Source organism: Homo sapiens, chromosome 21 (genome assembly GCF_000001405.40).
Source record: "Homo sapiens chromosome 21, GRCh38.p14 Primary Assembly".
In the NCBI taxonomy this organism is placed as follows: domain Eukaryota; kingdom Metazoa; phylum Chordata; class Mammalia; order Primates; family Hominidae; genus Homo; species Homo sapiens.
Window position 1 is genome coordinate 15126395 of NC_000021.9, and position 20172 is coordinate 15146566.

The 20172-nt window shown below is 40.5% G+C and overlaps 1 long non-coding RNA gene across 1 annotated transcript in view, besides 2 other annotated features; it reads right to left on the reverse strand.

Moving 5' to 3' along the window:
* LOC107985483 (uncharacterized) overlaps window positions 1-12213 on the reverse strand; it is a 33489-nt gene extending 21276 nt beyond the window's left edge. The window contains exon 1 of the long non-coding RNA XR_001755094.2: window positions 12063-12213. This is a non-coding gene — a long non-coding RNA (uncharacterized LOC107985483). The remainder of the gene's footprint in view (window positions 1-12062) is intronic.
* Window positions 13994-14288: a silencer, noted in NCBI's record as "tiled region #10306; K562 Repressive non-DNase unmatched - State 22:ReprW". NCBI's record gives its function as "represses a minimal TATA promoter and a strong SV40 promoter by Sharpr-MPRA in K562 cells {active_cell/tissue: K562}" and the evidence as "EXISTENCE:reporter gene assay evidence [ECO:0000049][PMID:27701403]".
* Window positions 13994-14288: an enhancer, noted in NCBI's record as "tiled region #10306; HepG2 Activating DNase matched - State 5:Enh". NCBI's record gives its function as "activates a minimal TATA promoter and a strong SV40 promoter by Sharpr-MPRA in HepG2 cells {active_cell/tissue: HepG2}" and the evidence as "EXISTENCE:reporter gene assay evidence [ECO:0000049][PMID:27701403]".

Sequence of the window (20172 nt, forward strand, 5' to 3'; positions counted from 1 at the left end):
ACACAAATGGAAAGGCTGGCTGTCTATGTGCCCCTGAAATAAGGCCAGGGTCAAAAGTGGGGCTGTGGCCTGGAGCAGAATTGCAGGACGGCTTTTCCTCCCCACCAAAAGAAAGAAAAGGAAATAATTGGGTGATAGCTTACTGCTCCCTTTCATCATTTCTTTCCTCTAATAGTCTGTCCTTCATGGAAAAATAGCACATACTTTCCATTCATGGAAATATCACATGTTTATATAAAATGATTCAAAATTAAATTTAATTTTCTTTTTACTCATTGGGTACAAAATAATTTATATTCACATACTGAATACTGACCTAGTTAGAGAGGTATCCATACACAGTTAGGTATATAATTCTCTTCTTTTAAGATGCTCTCCATCTCAGAAAGATTATTTAACAGGGACACCCGGGCCTTTCCCAGAGAACTACACCAGTAATTAAACTGATTTTTAAAAGGATCAGGATGTTTTCTTCACATTATGCATCAGCTTAGGAGCAACTTTGCCACCTCACTTATCTCACCAACCTCTTTCACTTTTGAGAAAGGGAGAAAAAAAGAAAAAAAGAAGTAAAGAGTTTTCGTCCTAACAGGATATGAAGATACTTTTCTTGAGAGGTTCCAGATGTATTTTGGCTATCCAATGCCATGCCCTTTGCAGGCAACACTCCACGTTGTTTTTTGATAACTTCCTAAGAGAAGTCACCATGCCCAGGCTACCAGGGGTCAGACAAGGTCAGCTCCTGTTCCCACTGTAGGGAGGGAGACACAGGAGTTGGCTTTGCCCAAAAATAGCCTGTGTCCATGCTGCGGAATTAGCTTAGTATCACCAAGTCCAAAACTTGGAGCCAGAAGTCCTGCTTTCAGAAAGGACTTCCAGCCCTTGAACATTGCTGCTACTCAAGTTTTTAATTAGTTGTGAGGTCACTGGTAGCCAGCACACTGGGACAGTACCATGATGAACAGGGTGGGTGCCTCAGGAGGAAGCCAAAAGGATGAAGACACTACCTTTATGAGAATATTTTCTTTCTACCAGTCCTGAAGGGAGTCTAAGTAACAAGATCTTGGATTTCTACTGGTAAAGGGTCATTTGCCCTAAATCCCTATAGTTTACCATAATTTGTTCTGTCATTTCCACCTTCCTTATTTTACAAAAAGCTGATCATTTCAACAACTTAATCCAAGTCATGACAAATTTGATTGATAGACAAAACCTCCATTAGGCAGATGGACTTTATACTTTGAGCCTTTTCTGGCACTGAGTACATGGATCAAAATTGAGTAGATGAAATTTTATCTGTAGGAGAAGAGATAAAATTCAGTCTACTATGGACAGAATGCTTATTATTCTCCTGAATTTGTATTCAGTAAATATCTTATTTTTAAAAAATACATTTGCTAAACTATTAGTGTGCCATAAATAATGATTTATAAATGTTGTCTAATAAATCACTTCCCTGGCTCACAGCTAAATATTCGTATCTCTTTTGTTTTTACAGATGGACAAAATGAAAGTCATAGATTAAATTAATGGAAGGAAAGTGAACTACAAACCATGCTTACTTCTACTTTGGCAAAGTGAATTATTCATGAAAACGCTGTTGCAAGCATACAGTGCCAAAGGTAGCCCTCAGGATGATTTTTCTCAGCCTCTGGGCTCAGAGAGTAATTGCAAAGTGGGTAGCAATTACTTTTGGCATCTTTCCACTTCATGTCCAGTGTTCTTCTCCCACCTACTTTTCTGGAACCAAGTATGTGGTAACCCTATCAAAGGCTTATGGCTTTCCAAACTCTTCTCAGAGTAATCCTACTCATCTCTCTGCACTGAATGACCTGGGGTTGTTATAATTGGTATATAGGTCTATAGTTGTTATATTCAGCTGCATAAATACATACACACACACACACACACATACACACAAACACACACAATGGAAGGAAAGCTTTCTTATTATAGGCCCAAGATCATTTATGCTAAAATTTCTGGATGTTAAGAGAAGTTTGTTCATTAAAATGAACTTTAAATGGGTGTGACATGTGGAGGAGACAGTTTCACTTCCTTGTCCCCTTGTTTGTGCCCTACTGTCCCCATGTCTAACTCACCTTCCAAACAATACTAAGAAGAATTAGTTGGCAATGGGTATTCTACTTCTGAATGCTTTCTTTATCCCTATTCATGAGAATATAGACCTTAACAAGACTCTGCCGACCTCAGACATTCTTAAAACAATCTCCTAAAATATGGTGTGAAGAAGTGCTAAGAATTTAACTCCCTGCTCCCTGACTCTTGGTAGGCAATAAAGTATAGGAATTTAGAACAAAGACCTTTGGGTCCAACTTCTGGAGTATGAATTCTGGTTCTGCTACTTGCCAGCTGTATGACCCTAGACAATTTCCTTAACCTCTTTGTAAAATGGGGATATGGTTTAATAGATTCACAGTTCCTCATGTCTGGGGAGGTCTCACAATCATGGCAGAAGGTGAAAGACATGTCACAAGGTGGCAGACAAGATAGAATGAGAGCCAAGTGAAAGGGGTTTTCCCTTATAAAACCCTCAGATCTTGTGAGACTTCTTCACTACCACAAGAATAGTATGGGGGAAACCACTCCCATGATTCAATTATCTCCCACTGGGTCCCTCCCACAACACATGGGAATTATGAGAGCTATAATTCAAGATAAGATTTGGGTGGGGACACAGCCAAACCATATCAGGACCCTCATGCTATTACCTCATCACATGGTTTTAAGGATTCATTGACCTAATAAGTATACAGTGCAGGACCTGGCATAAATTATTTGTTATTACTGCAGGTGTAGCCATTACTGTGCACTATATCAACATCCAATGGAGAATCCCCATGTGGGTAGCTTCAGTGCTTACCCGTGGTCACATCTCTCTCTGAGTATCCTGGCTTTAGTACGTCATCTCATTTTTCTGTCTGTAGTTACTTATGTGGAAATATTGTGCATCAGGCACTATGCTAGGAGCTAGAAACTGCCGCAAGCTACACAAATAAGACTCCTATCCTGAAAAAGCTTTCTGTGCAGAAGGGATAACAGACAGAACTAATTACAAAAGAAATTTCAATGATGATAAATGATGATAAGTTCTGTAGAAAAACAGGTGTTATGGAAGCATGCATGGTTTAGGGGGAGGAAGACTACAAGAATTAGGAAAAAAATTCACCTTGAAAGATGAGTAGGAATGAGATAGTGCGGGGTTGGGGATGTGGAGTAGAAGACAAGTAGATGTAAAAATGGTAGAAGAATCCATGTGAATAGATGGAAGGAAGCCAGTGTGGTTGAAGAACAAGAGAGCAGTGGATGTGATTGGGGCATATTGGGGGAGTGGTGCAGAATTCGGCTGGAGGCAGGGCAGGGTCCAGTTAGATCAATTATTCTCAACCAGGGCAGACATTTGGCAATGCTTGGTTGAGATTTTTGGTTGTCACAACTGGGAGTGGAGGGTTCTACTAGCATCTAGTGGGTCAAGACCAGGAATGCTGCTAAGCATCCTGCAATGGAGAGGACAGCCCCCACAACAAAGAATTATCACACTAAAAATGCCAATAGAGCTGAGGTTGAGAAGCCCTGGGATGGATAGATCATGCAGGATCTTGAAGGGCTGATTAAACGTGTTTTGCTTTACTATAAGAACAAGGGCAATCCAGGGGATGGTTGTAAGAACAGCTGTGATGTGATTACATTTGCAGCTGGTAGATCTTTGCAAAAGTCAGGTGAGAGACGAGGTTGGCTTGGACCAGGCTTGCATTAAAATGTATACCCCAACAATTCCTAAACTTTGAGCTGAGAAGGGAATTAAATAGATGTGGAGAGGAAGCAGAAAAAATAATTGAACTCCAGAGAAAGACAGTTGTGTTTTTTCAGGATTCTCTGGCTCTTGTAAATGCACCTCCTTTCTTTCCTGGTATGCAGGAGTCACCGCTGACTCTGTGTTGGTTGGTAGTTACCAGACAGGCCTCAACACCTCTTCCACCTTCTCCACCCACCTTTCTACCTCCATTCTGCACTTGGTATTGAGAATCGGCCCTTGTGGGCTCCTCCGCTCAGTGACACTCACGTTGGAAACATGTGCTAATCACTGCTCAATGGATCCGCAGAGCCCTTCCCCCACCCAGAGTGAAATCTTACGTCTGTCAATTGTGTCAAATGCTTTGAAAATGGAACATCTGTTTCCTCCTTCAAAACTGGATGTCTAACAAATTCCACAAAACAGCAGTCCCCTGTGCCTGACTTCTGCCATGCACCTGGTACCAATATGGCCAGGATTTTTTGAAGATGATCCAGATTTATATATCATTTGATGGTTTTAAATGAAACTAATTCATCATCAATTTTATAACTTCATCTAATAGCCATCTTCAATCCTTTCTGGAAAAAAAAAAAAAGACAAGGTGGAAGTACATCTAATTGTGATTTGAATTTTAAATTTGTAAAGTTTTCTTCCAGTACATAAATATATAAATCAGAAGTACTGATTGGGGAGTGAGAAACAGGGTAGCTGCACTGGTGAGTCATATTCTTCCTCCAGGGGAACAACAGAACAAACAGTGTGGCATCCATATATGGAGACTTCTAGAGTTGGATGTACCAAGTTGCCCATATCAACCAGGTATAAATCAGACCAGAGTCTATCACATTCAGGGCCAAAAAGAATGGAAAAAGTAAACGTGTAAAGCAGCCAGATTAAGAGAATAGAAAGTGCTGGAATCTACTGGGAAACAGATATGTCCACCTAAAAGTGTTCCAGTTAAAAACATTTTTTTAAAGCAATGAGCAGCCAAACAAAACAGGTCTACAAGCGTCAGTTGGCCAATAGCTGCCAGTTTGCAAGTTCTAGTTAAGGAAAAAATAAAATCAAAGGCCTAAAGAGCTCCACTGGAAAATTTAAATGCAGTTAAAGAGAAAAATTGCTAAAATATTAAAAGATGAAACTAATGAATGTATGGTTCAGACCATAGCAGACAAATTTTAAAACTCTTTCTTCTTTTTCCCCTTTCGATGTTGTATTATTTATAGGGATCATATAAGTACAAAATAATTTATCTTGCCCTCTTTCCCTCACCATCTCTTTACCATCTCTCTCTTTATACCTCATACACAACACATCACCACAACAGCAGGGGTGTGAGGGTCAAATCAACGCAAGCAAGGGAATTCACAACCCTTGCCGAACTGCTGTCCTTAATTGTGTGCAGCAGCATCTATAAGCTCTGCAAAGCAGGTCATCAGAATCTGAAGGGACATATTATCTGTAATTCCTGGTGCATAATAGGGCACATTAAAGACAAACTTTCAGCCTTAATTCTTAATCTCTTTTCCAGCTTTGGTAGATTTAAAAATCTGATATTCTGAGCACAGCATTATTCTTCCCAGGGCTACAGCTGTGCATTGCTTTCTATCTTGGGAGGAGATGTTTTTGCACAGGTCTAAGGAAATGCAACACAAGGGAAATGCCATTTTAACAAATTTCAAGGGAGGGGAAAGATTGCTCTTCTTTTTGCTGCAACAGAATTTTGCTGGTGGAAACGTTGTAAAGGTGGAATCTTCAATATGAGGAAACTTGTAGTTTAACATTTATAAAGTGCCATTTATTCCTGAAGAACTCAAAGACCTTTACATATGTTAGGCACTGTCCTGATCCCATAGTTCACATTTTGGGGATGTCCAGACCACATTCTCTTACATTTTCTCAGCCTTGCTCTGTGAGTTAGGTAAAGACAGTGAAAGAGGGTCAAAATGGAGGGAACAGACTTTTATTGTTTTTGTTTGTTCATTTGTTTGGTGGTGATATTGTTTGGATATTTGTCCCCTTCCAATCTCACGTTGAAATTTGATCCCCAATGTTAGAGGTGGGGCCTATTGGAAGGTGTTTTGTTCATGGGGGCATATTTCTCATGAATGTCTTAGTTCCCTCCCAGCAGTAATGCGTGAGTTCTCACTCTATTAGTTTATGTGAGAACTGATTGTTATCACATCAAGAGAGAGGGGAGAAGCTGGCACTTCCTCCCCTCTCTCTTGCTCTCTCTTTTTCACCATGTGACATGCAAGTTTTCCTTGTCTTTTGCCGTGAGTAAAAGCTCCCTGAGCCCCTCACCAGAAGCCGATGCTGGTGCCATGCTTCTTGTACAACCTGCAGAACTGTGAACTAAATAAACCTCTTTTCTTGATAAATCACCCAATCTCAGGTAATCCTTTATAGCAATACAAAACTGACTAATACAGGTGGCAACAAATGACTTTTGCAATGACTAAAAGATGATGTAAGTGTATATAGTGTATATATGTTGCGGCCCCTTTCTATAAGATTCAGATCCACTGAATGTTTCTTGGGTTCCCTAAATCCTCTATTCAATACCTGTTGGTTAGGCCAGGCACTATTCTAACTACTGAAAGTGGAGTAGTGGTTATGAAAGACAAGGTTCTTGTTCTCATGAAGCTGACCTGATAGAGAAGAAGACAGTCAAGAAGCAAATAAACTGGAAATATGACACGTACGCTATGCAGAGAATTAGCTGAAAGTCTAGATGGCTCTGTAGATTACATGGTCAGAGAAGATGACATCTAGAGACAAGAATGACAAAGAGGAGCTAAAGATTCCAGGGAAAGGGCATTCTAGGTACTAGAAACAGCTAGTGGAAAGGCCCTAAGGTGAAAAAAGACCCTGTTCGCTAACTACGGCTGCTGTAACAAATTCCTACAAACTTGACGGCTTAAAACGACACAACTTTATTATATTGGAATCGTGAAGACCAGCAGTACAAAATCAAGTTTCACTGGGCTAAGATTAAAGCGTTGGCAGGGCTACCTTCCTTTCAGATGCTATAGGGCAGAGTCTGTTTCCTTGCTTTTCCAGGTTCTAGAGGCCACCTGCAACCTGCATTCCTTTGGCTCATGGCCCCTTCCTGAATCTTCAAAGCTACAGTAAAGCATTTTCAGTTCTCTCTCTGAACCTGACACTCCCGTTTCTCTCTCTAACCTATAAGAACCCTTATGATTACACATTTGCCCCACCCGGATAATCCAGAATAATCTCCCTGTTTAATAACCTTAACTTAATTATACCTGCAAAGACTCTTTTGCCATGGAAGATAACATATTCACAGGTTCTGAGGATGAGGGAGTGAACAGCTAAGGAGCTATTGTTTTGTCTACCGTGGTGGAAATGAGGTTTTCTATTTGAGGGACAGAAAGAGCCAGTGTGGTAGCAATGTAGTAGTGAAATAGAGTATGTTGGGATAAGTTCTGACTTTCCAGTGGCAGTAGTAAATGCTATCGCCATCATCACGCCATTCACTGTTCAGTTGGACTTCCCCAAACTTCTGATACTGGCACAGGATGGGTGAGGACATTCAACCTTTGGGGTTTCTGAGCTCCTTTGATTAATAGTAAATCGGTGTTGCCATTCCTTAGTCTAATTTTCTAGTTTTAAGTACAGCAAAGTTTTAGCATTTATTATAAACACTTTTATATTCTGATTCACCAAATCATAGAAATTCAAACCTCAAGAAAATGTACAAAATTACCTATTTGGGCTTTTAGTTTTTACAAAAAACAAAACAAACAAACAGACAAAAACAAAAAACAACAACAAAAAAACGGACATTGAGACAAGAGAAGTTACATGTCTTTCTTAGGAAGATGAACTTAAGGCCAAAACCTCACCGTGCAGTGTCCCCATCCATTTCTCTTGTGCATTACTACATTTTAGGTGTGTGTTATTTTTCCTAATTGCAGCTGCCTCGTGTGGGCATAGGGTGTTACAATGGTCTGGATGTTCCCCAGGCCAAGCGTGCGTTGTTTTGCTTGCACAGAAGAGTATATGGTAAATAATACATGTTGATTGATGGGCTGATTCAGTCCATTGCCCTTTCCTGCCCCCCTCCCCCAGAACAGATATGGTAAAATAGAAACTTCTGATTTACAGGATGTCCGAAAGGTATGCAATATTTTTTATCAATTGCAAAATACTCTAAAGGCTATCCTGTCATTTGATAAGTCCATCATTTGTGGACGTACTTGGGACTTTGCCAAGAACAATCAGGTGAGGGTACTAACCATAACTTGCTACCAAAACATTATCCATCTGGAATCTATGAGCCATTCAGATTAATTTATTTTGGGGTTTTTCTTACCTCTGTAATAGATTTTTGATGTAAATATTTTTGTATTTCAGAGAAGTTTCAGACTTTCTAATCCTATCAATCATCTCCACCACCCTCTAAATTTGCCCAATAGCAGAGGATATGTAGATAAAAACAGCAAAAGAAACTCAAAACACTGTGAAATAAAGGAAATTGCCTCGATGACTAATAGAAATTTGGTTATATAGATTAGAAAGATTGACACTAGCGGGTAAATTTTACACTTTACTTTTTGGCTCTGGGCTCTGTAGATAACTACCAGCTACTTCCAACTTGTTCCTAAAAATAATCTATTGAAATAACTTCTGAAAAATACAGGAAGTGGCGAGACAAATTAATCCTTATAAAGAGGAACAAAAGAGTTTCCTACAGCCTGTCCTGGGTGAGAAAGCTGGTTGGGGCAGGTCCCAGAGGCAGAGCTGGGTGTGTCTCTTGGGTGCAGAACAAGTCTATAAAGTTCAGGCAGGAAAGTTTGCTAATCTCTAAGCAGGTGGGTCAAGACTCATCTACATTCTGGACTTTCCATGCCACTGCCCTGCGCTTTTCCCAAGATTCCCACAGCAGAAATAAAAATATTTCTAGATACTTCTTTAAAGGGTGTAAGATAGCCCACACTTTAAATCGTTAATGTATATCTCACCAAATGTAATTTATTATCTTGCGTGTGCTGTGTAAATCACTATATTGGACCAAAAGCAAACCACAAGTTGTTTATATACGAGACCAGCTCCCAGAACATTCAGTTAGTTCATTTCACTTCAGTGACAGGAGGGAAACATGCATGGGGAGCATTTTTTATGATAATCATAGGGCTTTTTGCATTGGTCAAAGGAATGGAAAAGTGTGTTTCCAGTGTTTTTTAATTCTAGGCTTAGAAAGTTTTTATAAGATATAAATTCATATTTTTGGCATTTAAAAAACAGTTTATTAGAGTTGCCATATTACAATGTTCTATTTTCTGTGGTAACTGCACTACACACAATTTTAGCTTCTTTAAAATTAAGAGCTTGTAGCAAGTTGAATGTGGCTTAACTTTAGAAAATAAGGTCCCAGAGTCCAGGAAGTTCAATAAGCGCAAATGCTCTGGACAGGTTAAAATCCTACAGCGATTTACTGTTCATTACACATGATCGTAGCCAAAAGGCTGAGAAATGATTATTTTAGTGCTCATTTATTGTAGCCTGAGAGCTGTGTTTTAGCAGAGACCTATGCATTCAAATAACTTAAGATCAGGTTTGTGGTACACGAACTAGTATACGATCAAGTATGAAATCATATGAAGAAAATAAATCTGTAGTTTTGAACTAGGAGTGCAAAGATAGTTTTAAAGAGAACTTAGATATTAAACTGTTGGTTGATGAGTGACATTGAGGAGAGGGTGGATGTGGAGGAAATATTCAATGCTGATCATAATGACATAATAATAGTTCACTGCATGCCTTCTGCGTGCCAGCTACGAGGCTATGTCCTTCATGGGTATTATATCTAAGACACATTTATTCTGCATTCCCATTTTAAAGATGAAGCAACTGAGGCTTAAAATGTCACAGTTAACTAATGACAAAGCTGAAATTCAAACACAGACCACAGCCAGCTCCAAAGACTACATTTTTCCACCATAAAATAGCAATAAGCACAGGAATAAAAATTTTCTGATGAGCTGGCTTCAGAAGAAGATACCTTAGGCATACTAATGGACAGTCAATTTGGATGGGTCATAGGGAGCTAAATTGTGGAGGCATTTGAATGCCAGGACAAAAAGCTTAGATAGCCTCCATGAAGAAGTAAGGAACCACAAGAGGTTGTTGGCTAAATCTATAATTCTGGTCGACATCATATGCTCTGTGCAGATTTCTGACTCAGCTTTCTGTCTCCAGGGCAAAAGAGAAATATAAACTCCTTTAGTCTAGCACAGGGCCTGGTATTTACAATGTGCTTATTAAATGCCACATTTCCTTTCATTCTGGGGACTGAATTCCTCCTTTTGTGCCTCCCTTTAGAGGCCTTTGCAGAGCAAGTTGGTCAATGGTCCATCTTTTCTCTTCACCAGACACAACAGCCTAAAACTCGGATTTTTTTTTTTCTCTGCATTCTTACTGGGAGCAACAGAGGAAGCCTGAGCCAAGGGACTTTTACTACTGCAACCTGGACCCATGAATCTCAGGTAAATCAATGTCTACCAGCATGGAGTGGAAGAGTTCAACCTACATTTGGAAGTAGGATAAAACTATTCCAAGAATTACATCAGCAAGTAAATGTTTTGAGGGCTTGAGGTGAGGAAAGGAGGCACTGAAGGGACCAGAGCTATGACCTACCTTTACAGAACTTAGAAATGGAAGAAACATCTGGGAAAGAGAATAGACAGCTCAAGAATGAGGATGGGGAAAACAACATAAATAGATAAGGTGTGAATAGTTAAAGAGATGACTACACATACATCAGTTCTGGACCTTTTAGATCAAATAGTTCTGGAGTGCTATTTTAGGAGTAGGATAAGAAATATAAAAGGTGATAACTGGCCAGGTGCCATGGCTCATGCCTGTAATCCCAACACTTTGGGAGGGCAAGGCAGAGGATGTCTTGAGTCCAGGAGTTAGAGAACAGCATAGGCAACATAGTGAGACCTCATCTCTACGGAAAATAAAAGAAATTAGCCAGGTATGGTCACACACACCTATAGTCCCAGCTACTCAGAAGGCTGAGGTGAGAGGATTGTTTGAGCCAGGGAAGTGTGAGGGTGCAGTGAGCCATGATTGTGCCACAGCACTCCAGCCTGTGCAACAGAGCGAGACCCTGTCTCAAAAAAAAAAAAAAAAAACCCCAAATGTGATAACCAGTAACTAGACATTCATGCAAGCATCAGTACTGTGAACCAGCAACTAGATGACATTAAAAGAGTCATGTTACTCTTTTCATCCAGAGCAATTCGTCTTAGATAATCAAAGGCAGTTAACCTTAATTTGTGCCAAAGATAAATGCAAAATTATCACCAAGAAGAAGTTGTGGGTGGAAATTAGAAGGTTTTGCAGTTGATTGATTATATCGAGCAATAATTCGTTGATCTGACACTGAACTCTATCTAAATATTTTAATATTAGGCCATATTTACCACTATTCTCCATTCCTGTTTTTTTTAAATAGTAATACTATAAATAAGAAATCAAAAGTGATTAGAGGAAAGGACTTTTGACCAGAAATTGCAGGAGAGATTGGTGTGATGGTCCAGAGAAAGCTAATCAACAGCAACTTTCTTAAAGAGTCTTTCTGCCCCTCTTTATCACCTCCCTACTTTCAGTGTGGCAATGCCTCTGTCCTTGCTATTTTCCTTTTCTTCACTTCTTTTCTTCAATTTTTCACTCTGGGAATTAATGACTATTTCTTCCAAAGCATAAAAGATAAAAATATTGGTCCCGGGAAGTCTAAGGGAAAGTCTCTGTCACTCAGGTTGTTGGTACATATCTTTCTGCAGACATTTGTGTTTGCTGATCCTGTCCTGTGCTCCTTCTATTCTACAGCAAGATTACTGTCTGGTTTCCCCATCTCTTCTCTCCTGTTCCTCTGTGTGTGTGTGTGTGTGTGTGTGTGTGTGTATACAGGGAGAAGAGACCAAAAAAATATGGAAAATTAGAAGGAATTGTTGTTAGGATGTCCATGAAACACTGAACTCATATTTATACATTTTCACTCATTGGTCAGGAATTAAGAATCAAATGGGGTAATCATGTTTGTTTCATCGAATTCATCTTATTCGAAAAAAGAAATTCAACAAACCCTGCATTTCTCATCTGTAAGCTTAGATTATTATAGTAGATATGACATAGTTTTATTCTTGTATCTTATAGCAATTAGCTATGTAAGCTACAGTCACCTTTGCTTGCACTTTGTTAAACCTACCTGGAGCAGGTGGCAAGATTCTGGGATCGAGAGGCAGGTGGAGGAGTTGGAAGGGTCAATTCCCGTGTTCTGCCTGGGGTAACTGAGACTGAATTTGGAGGCCATGTCTGCAGCCCTGGCTGTCCTGAGTGTGCTGCCAAAGCATCCGACTGCATTGCTTTCAGGGCAAAGGTAATTATGTGTTCTGGAGAAGCCCTACTACTTTTCAGATTGAGCAAATCCTGAACAGGTGCAGCCCTAATCCAAGGCTTTGGGAGGAGCTGCTGGAGACCCAGCTGCGGGTGCTGGCACGCTTCCAGAGGAAAGCAGGAAGCAAGAAGACTGTTGCGGGAAGAGCCAAAAGTGCAACGTTTCAGTACCAAAAAGATCGTTGGCACAGAAACAATGAAATGCATGGCCTGGCCTTTTTTGTCTCCCTGCCATCTTGCTGTAAAATGAGGTGGTCCCTGGAAAGCCCAGCACAGGAAAGCTAGATATATAGAGTCTGTGGATCATCCAGTGATGACGCTGAACATAAAAGCTGGAGATGTGATGTTTCCAAATAATTTATATTTGTTTTAAATTTCCCTCCTTTTCTTATAAATAACCCAAATCCAGATACTAGGATAAATGACTGGATCACATCCCCTTGTCACGGCAGGCTTGCAAAAATATATTAGGAACGAGGGAGGGCAATGTGCACAGAGAAGACAGACCTGCTCCTGTACCTTGTCATTTGTACTCCAGTGATGAATTTCTAAACTACGTATTTGAGCATGTTAATGAAAAAGAAAAGAGCAAAGGAAAGAAAAGAGAAGGGGAGAGAGAAAATGACAAAAGAACAGAGGAAAAAAAAACACTAGGCAAAAACCAGAGGAAAATGAGGCAGGAATATTAGGTTGGCTAACAAAGTACGTTTTGGTCAACCGGCTTTGGCATAAACGGACTTGGTGCCTGGGAAATAAAGCAGATAGGTGAGTGGGGGGCTGAACCACTCTGGAAGATCTAGATGTGGTTGGGGAATGAGGAATTGTCAGAGAGAATTAGGGGTATTTATTGCATGGTACCCTAGACTGGGCTCCAGGACTGACCCCTTGCTGAATGAGAAGCTAGACACACAGGCGTTTTTTAAGATTAAAAGAAAAATGAGAAGAGGGTGACTTGGTGTCTGAACTAAGCTCAACTACTAAAATAGACAAAATAGCCCAGTGGCGAAAGGTTAATTTGTTGGCCCCCAGACCCTGAAGCAAAGCTTCAGAGGGGGCCCCTTTGATCTTTGCTGGTTACTAAATGAATAGCCTGTAGTCACCACCTCCTGGGTCCCAGAAACCAAAGACTACTTATTGATCAGTATTGAACAAAATTTGGCAATTGAAATAGTAGCAATATATTATCTGGTTTTGGGGAGGGGGATGGAAGTCTGAGTATTTTCACTAGGACTAGTATGGATTTTGCAGGTGGTCCCTAATGCTTAGCTCACTAACAATCTCACTCTCCCTTTTCTAGAGCTCAGACCCTCTCTTTAAATAGCTAACCCTTCAGGCTTACTGAGTATCAGTTACTGATTTGTTGAAGTTAACTACAGTGTGTTTATTTGGGAAGGAGGTTACTTGAACGTGCCCTTAAATTGCTTTGACTTCCAACTGCAACAAAACACGTCTTGGCTTCTTTGGCTGAGGGGATGATGTGTGTGACAGGGGGCACCATCAGTTAACTCCAGTGCCACTGTGAGGCTGAACGTGCAGAAAAAAAATAAGGAGAGAAGGAAAAAAATGGTAAAGGAAAAGCAGTAAGTGAAAAGGAAGATAAAAAATAGAAGAGTTGACATGGTGGGGAGAGGTGAAGTGACACCAGTCGCTGCCTGGTGTGACATTTAATGGCATCAGGATCACGGTTACCTTCTCTGAGGGTAAACCAGAGAGCACTGTGCCACCTCTGGAGTCACAATTACAAAGTGACATCTCTGCAAGGGCCAATTTTGAACAGGAGAAAGCCCTCCCCCAGGGACGATGAGCCCATGGTAGCGGCAGATAGTGCAAACAAGCACAAATGCCCATCCCCATGGCAGGCATAAGGGGGAGAGGGATCATATTTTAAAGCTCCATTAACAAAGAACTTTACTCAAGGAGGAACTGTTAATAAGTAATGAAACAAAGTGCCTGTTATGGAGATTAAATGCTCCTGTGTCGAGGTACAAAGTTCAGGCTGCAAAGTGCAGCTGTCACCCTGTCTATAACCCCACGGCAGCCTTAGAACCCCTGGTTCAAAGTGTGTCTTGCTGCCTTCCTGTTACTAGGCTGCCTAGTGCAAGGTCCAGCCAGGGTTCACAGTTCAGCGTCTGAGGCTCTGCTGACTGCCTTCTTTGTTTAACTTGGGCAAGCTTTTGATAAGCCAGGGACTGCTTATTTAAGGCGATTATTACAAACAACTGACAGATTATTTTCCCAGATTCTTGCACTTATTCTTCATATGCAAGTTTAAACGAGTCCCAAACTATAATTTCTTGAGGATTTGTGTGTGTACAAAAGTAATCGAGATAAGGATGTGTGAAAGACTAGGTAAAAAAATCTATTTCTAAGGAATAACTATGCTCCAAGCAGACATAGAAAACCAAGGTCCTTTGAAGTAAGGACTCGTGAGGGCAATTTCAAGACAGGTCAAAGAATTCTCGTCTCTAATGATCAAAGATCAAATAAATACCAGATTTACCCTTTAAAATCAAGCGAACCCTTTCCTTGTTTAACAGTAGATCAGTGTTAATTCATTTCTGAATAGAGTCTCCCTCTGTAATTGTTCTTTTTATTTGTCTACTAAAAATTCAGAGGGAAACTCACTTTTTTCAAATAGTTTGCTTTGCTCGACCTAATCCTAGCAAAAGCCACAGGAAGGTGGAAAACCGATAATTAGTATTCCCATTATGCAGATGAGGAAACAGACTCAAAGAGAGTGGCAATTTGCCCAGGGTCTTCGAGTTAGTTAATCTTACAAAACCAAGACCACAATCCATCTCTTCAGCCTTTCCTCTCAGCACTTGTTTCAGAAGCCCACTGCTTCCTCTTAAGTCCTGACACCAATTCTATTTGAATGGCAGTAGTTCTTTTTCATTTCTCACTTTTATGGAAGTGAACGGAGTCTAAGTAAAACACTAGAGGCAGGCAGTTTGGGAAATGTGATATGAAAAAGCACTCCAGGTAAGGTTTAGGGAAACAGGGCTTGACTTTGTGATGGCCTCGTGCCAGGCACCTGTTATTCATGCTGCTTCTCCTGGCCACAAGTGCCAAGGGGGCAGGATTTTCAGCTAGTTGCCCAGTGGGTCGTTCAGGGTGCTGCTCCTTCTGGAGATAGCATAGATTAATATTTTACCTCAGAAAGGAGTATAGCTCATTGGTGATACATGAGTGCCCTACGGGCTTAGAATTTAGAATAATACTTGCTTATGACGCATAAAAGCAAACTAAGATTTCCTTGTCTCATATTTTCTCTACATTGGCATAGAGTTGAAAAATCATCAGCAGTTTTTTTTTTTTTTGTTGCTGTTGTTGTTTCGTTTTTGAGACAGGGTCACGCTATGTTGCCCAGGCTGGAATGTACTGGTGTGATGATGGTTCACTGCAACCAACCTCAACCTCCCAGGTTCAAGCTGGGCTCAATCGAGCCTCCCACCTCAGCCTTCTGAGTAGCTGGGACTATAGGCGCACACCACTGTGACTGGCTAATTTTTAATATTTTTTTGTAGAGTACGGGGTCTCACTATGTTGCCCAGCCTGGCCTTGAACTCCTGGACTCAGGTGATCCTCCCGCCTTGGCCCCCTAAAGTGCTGTGATTATAGGCATGAGCCACCACACCTGGCTGCAGGTTTGACTCCATTGGCAGATACATATTAAGGCCTACAATGTCCCAGATATTTACTATTAATTTGTAGATGTTTACATACGTAAATATTTTCATAGTTATTGAGCCCACACTGTATGCCATGAAGAAGGCATAGATAGAAATTCAGATACATCCTACTTCTGTCCTCAAAGAGCTTGAACTGTAGTAGGAAGGAAAATGCAAAAATGTACATAGCAGGTGACAACAAAGAGATACAAGCAAAACACTAAGAGATAGAAAAAAGCAGTGAGAGTAGGAAGTGAGTCTTTATTTACTGAGCACCTACTTAGGGCCAGTCTCAAGAATGAATGTTTGACCTATTTTAGGCTTTTAATCCACACAACCACAGCAGGGAGTAAATATTATCTCCATTTTACAGATAACTATATTGAAACTCAGAGGGGTTAAGACACTTGTCCAAAGCCATAGAACCTATAATGAACAAAAGTGGGTTTGAACCTATTTCTCCAACTGAGCTTCATGTAGACAAGCAGATGTTGGAAAAAGAGTCAGAAAAGAAGAGAAAACAAATTATTAGAAAGGAAGGAAGACAATAGAGATTTTATTGTATCCTGAATGGCAAGATAGAAGGGATTCTCTGGGTGATGGTAGGTGTGATAGAAGCATGGGGGCCAGAAACTAAAAAGTGAGGCCTAGACGGGTGGTGAAGTAGAGGAAGCATGGTGGAAGCTCTGAATGTGAACTCCTAATTCTTTTAATACATGGCAATAGGGAGAAGGGGTCGAACAAGATGCATTATTAAGGTCATCTTTTATGGGCTCCCTGTTCTTTGGACCCATCTACAAAAAAGACTGTACTTTTCTCATGCTATGTATATGTTCTTATATTCTTGGAGGATGGCAGCTATCACCTTACTTAAGACACACCCTAACCTAGATCTCTTGCTACAATCTCTCTCTTCAGATATTGATTTGTGTTTCCAGGTGCCCATGCAGTGTGTCCAACTGGTCAATTCAGAGACACCAATATCTGCTCCTGCAAACCTGTTCCTTCCCTACATCCCCTACCTCAGACCATGTCATCCTACCACTTTAGTCTCCCATGTTATCAACCCTGACATTATCTTTGATGCCTTTCTTACCCCCACTCTGTAAATTCAACACATCTCCAGTCTTCATAGTTTTAACCCTGAAATGTCTCCAAATACATCACCTCCTCTTAATGCCCCTGCTCATACTATGTATTTTTATACCATAGTCTTATGTCATCGCATATGTGTAAGAGACATACTTTCATATGAGACTTTGGGTCAAGTCTTCATTATCTCTTGTAGTGATAAAAGCATGGTTGATCTAATCTCTGTCCTTCACAGTTATACTCCGCTCTGTCTTTCCATTACTACTGTTACTAGAAATGATTTGTAAAGTGTAAAGCAAGTGGAGTCAAATCTGGCAATGCCTCTCTCTTGCTTTGAAAACATTAATAAAGGCAGAGGCCAGGTTCAGTGGCTCACTCCTATAATCCCAACATTTTGGGAGACGGAGGCAAGAGGACTGTCTAGTCTCTACAAAAAATTTAAAAATTAGCCAGGTGTGGTGGTGCACACCTGTAGTCCCAGCTATTCAGGAGGCTGAGGCAGGAGGACCTCTTGAGCCCAGTAGTTCAAGGCTGTAGTGCACTATGATTGCACTTGTGAATAGCCACGATGCTCCATCCTGCACAACTTAGCGAGACTCCATCTCTAAAAAGCAAAAAAACAAGCTCTAGTAATTCCTATATCTTTACAAAAAAAGTTAGCAAACTAGTGACCATAGACCAACATTGGCCCACAGATTTATTTTATTTGGCTGACACAAGTATGGAATCGTTGTGTTTTAAATTTGTGTTAGTTGTCAATATTTAAAAGTTGAATATTTCACATAAACATTGAGATTTCTGGCTCTGTTGAGAAATCAAGATCAGTCAGCACTGGGCAGGACTCCCGCAGAGCAGCCACCAGAATTCCATAGCAGCTGCCTGTTACAGAGGGGCATTCCCTCTCCGGTTTAACCCAGTCCTTACAATCATGTCATGCTATAATGGGATGTGAGTGGCACTTTACCTCCATAATGTTTCTCCCCAAAGCCATAAAACCCTCGTCTAATCATGAGAACAACATTAGAAAAACTCCAAGTAAGGGGCATTGTACAAAATTCTTACCAGCATCCCTCAAAATTGTCAATGTCCTCAAAAACAAAAAAAGTCTAAGAAACTGCCACAGCCAGGAGGAAACTTAGTCAATAAATGTAATGTGGTATCCTGGATGAGATCATGGAACAGAAAAAGGACTCTGGGTAAAAGCTAAGAAACTCCAAGTAAAGTATGGACTTTATTTAATAATAATGCATCATTAAGTGTTTATTTATTCATTTATTTTGAGTGAGAGTCTCACTCTGTCACCCAGGCTGGAATGTAGTGGCACAATCTCAGCTCACTGAAACCTCCACTTCCCAGGCTGAGCAATTCTCCGGTCTCAGCCTCCCGAGTAGCTGGAATTACAGGCACGTACCACCGCGCCTGGCTAATTTTTGTATTTTTAGCAGAGATGGAGTTTCACCATGTTGGCCAGGCTGGTCTCAAACTCCTGACCTCAAGTGATCTGCCTGCCTTGGTCTCCCAAAATGCTGGGATTGCAGATGTGAACTACCTACCATGCCTAGCCTATTTGTTTATTCATTGTAACAAATATACTATGCTACTATAAGACGTTAGGGGAAACTGGATATATAGAAATTCTCTGTACTATATTCACAACTTTTCTGTACGTCTAAATCATTAAAATGTTATTTTTCAAAATAAACTAATGGCAAAAGTAAAATGTAGGCAAGCTATTTGTTGACCTCTTTCCATTGTTCTAATGCCTTTGTTTCTCTAGTCTGTGTGTTTTAGTGACTCAGTGATACTACATAAAGTATTATCTTGCACATATATGCACACACACATATCATTTCATATATCAATTATCTTTCTTTCATGTGTATAAGTACATACATACATATATGAAAGATGACACTTTATGTGTTTTCACTGAGTCATCGTCTGTATAGGTATATATTTGGAGATTACTAAAGAGCCAAACGCTTCTGATACCTAAATGAATAAATTTCTACTGGTAAAAATTTAAGTCGTTGTCGTATCTGAATGTGGAAGATAACTATGGTTGGAGTAGAAACTTCCTAATCATAACAGCAGCCCTGACTTTTATTAAAACATTGAAAAAGGGAAAAGACACATGGAAACAGCTGGTTTTGTAGGATGTTGAAGATCCAAAGCAAGAGATACTGCAATTAATCTGTGAGGAAGGAAAAATATTTCTATGATTCTCACAAATGCTCACAAATCACTTTCACTTTATTAATTTTATTTTGTAAATCATTCCCTATGGTCACCTCAAGGGGTGCATTGTTCTTCTCTCATTTTTTTCAAGGTGAAGAAATTTTGGCTGAAAGAGACTCACTGACTTTCCAGAGGTTATCTAGGGATTCATTAACAGAATAAAAATTAGGCTCCAGCTAATGTCACTAAGCCATTGCTATCCTCTGCATCTTCTTGCTTCCCTCAATCCAAAGAGGTTCTAAATAAGGAGATAACATAATTACATAACTTTAGGGAAAATGCAAATGAACCAAATCTGGAGAAAAGATGAAGATAAATTAATCAGAACGAATGAGATAGCTTAGGATTGCATGGTGTTCAGGAGACAGCAAATTAAATTGCCATTTGTAAGGAATAAGATAGGGCAATAAGAAAGGCCAGAGATATTCTGTTCTGTACTCAAAGAGGGATAGCATAACCCGAAGACAAAGTAAGGGCACGGTGCTAGTATTAGGATGGTGCCATTACTTTTTTTTTCTTTTTGAGACGGAGTCTCGCTCTGTCGCCCAGGCTGGAGCGCAGTGGCTCGATCTCCGCTCACTAACCTCCGCCTTCCGGGTTCACGCCGTTCTCCTGCCTCAGCCTCCCGAGTAGCTGGGACTACTGGCGCCCGCCACCACGCCTGGCTAATTTTTGTATTTTTAGTAGAGACGGGGTTTCACCGTGTTAGCCAGGATGGTCTCGATCTCCTGACCTCATGATCTGCCCACCTCGGCCTCCCAAAGTGCTGGGATTACAGGCATGAGCGACTGTGCCCGGCCGGTGCCATTACTTTTAATGGCAAAAACAGCAACTGCTTTTGCAGCAACCTAATAGTAAACGTGCTGAGGCCGCATCTATTCTGGGGGACTCATTTTGGGGTCCATGAACACAAAACGTGCA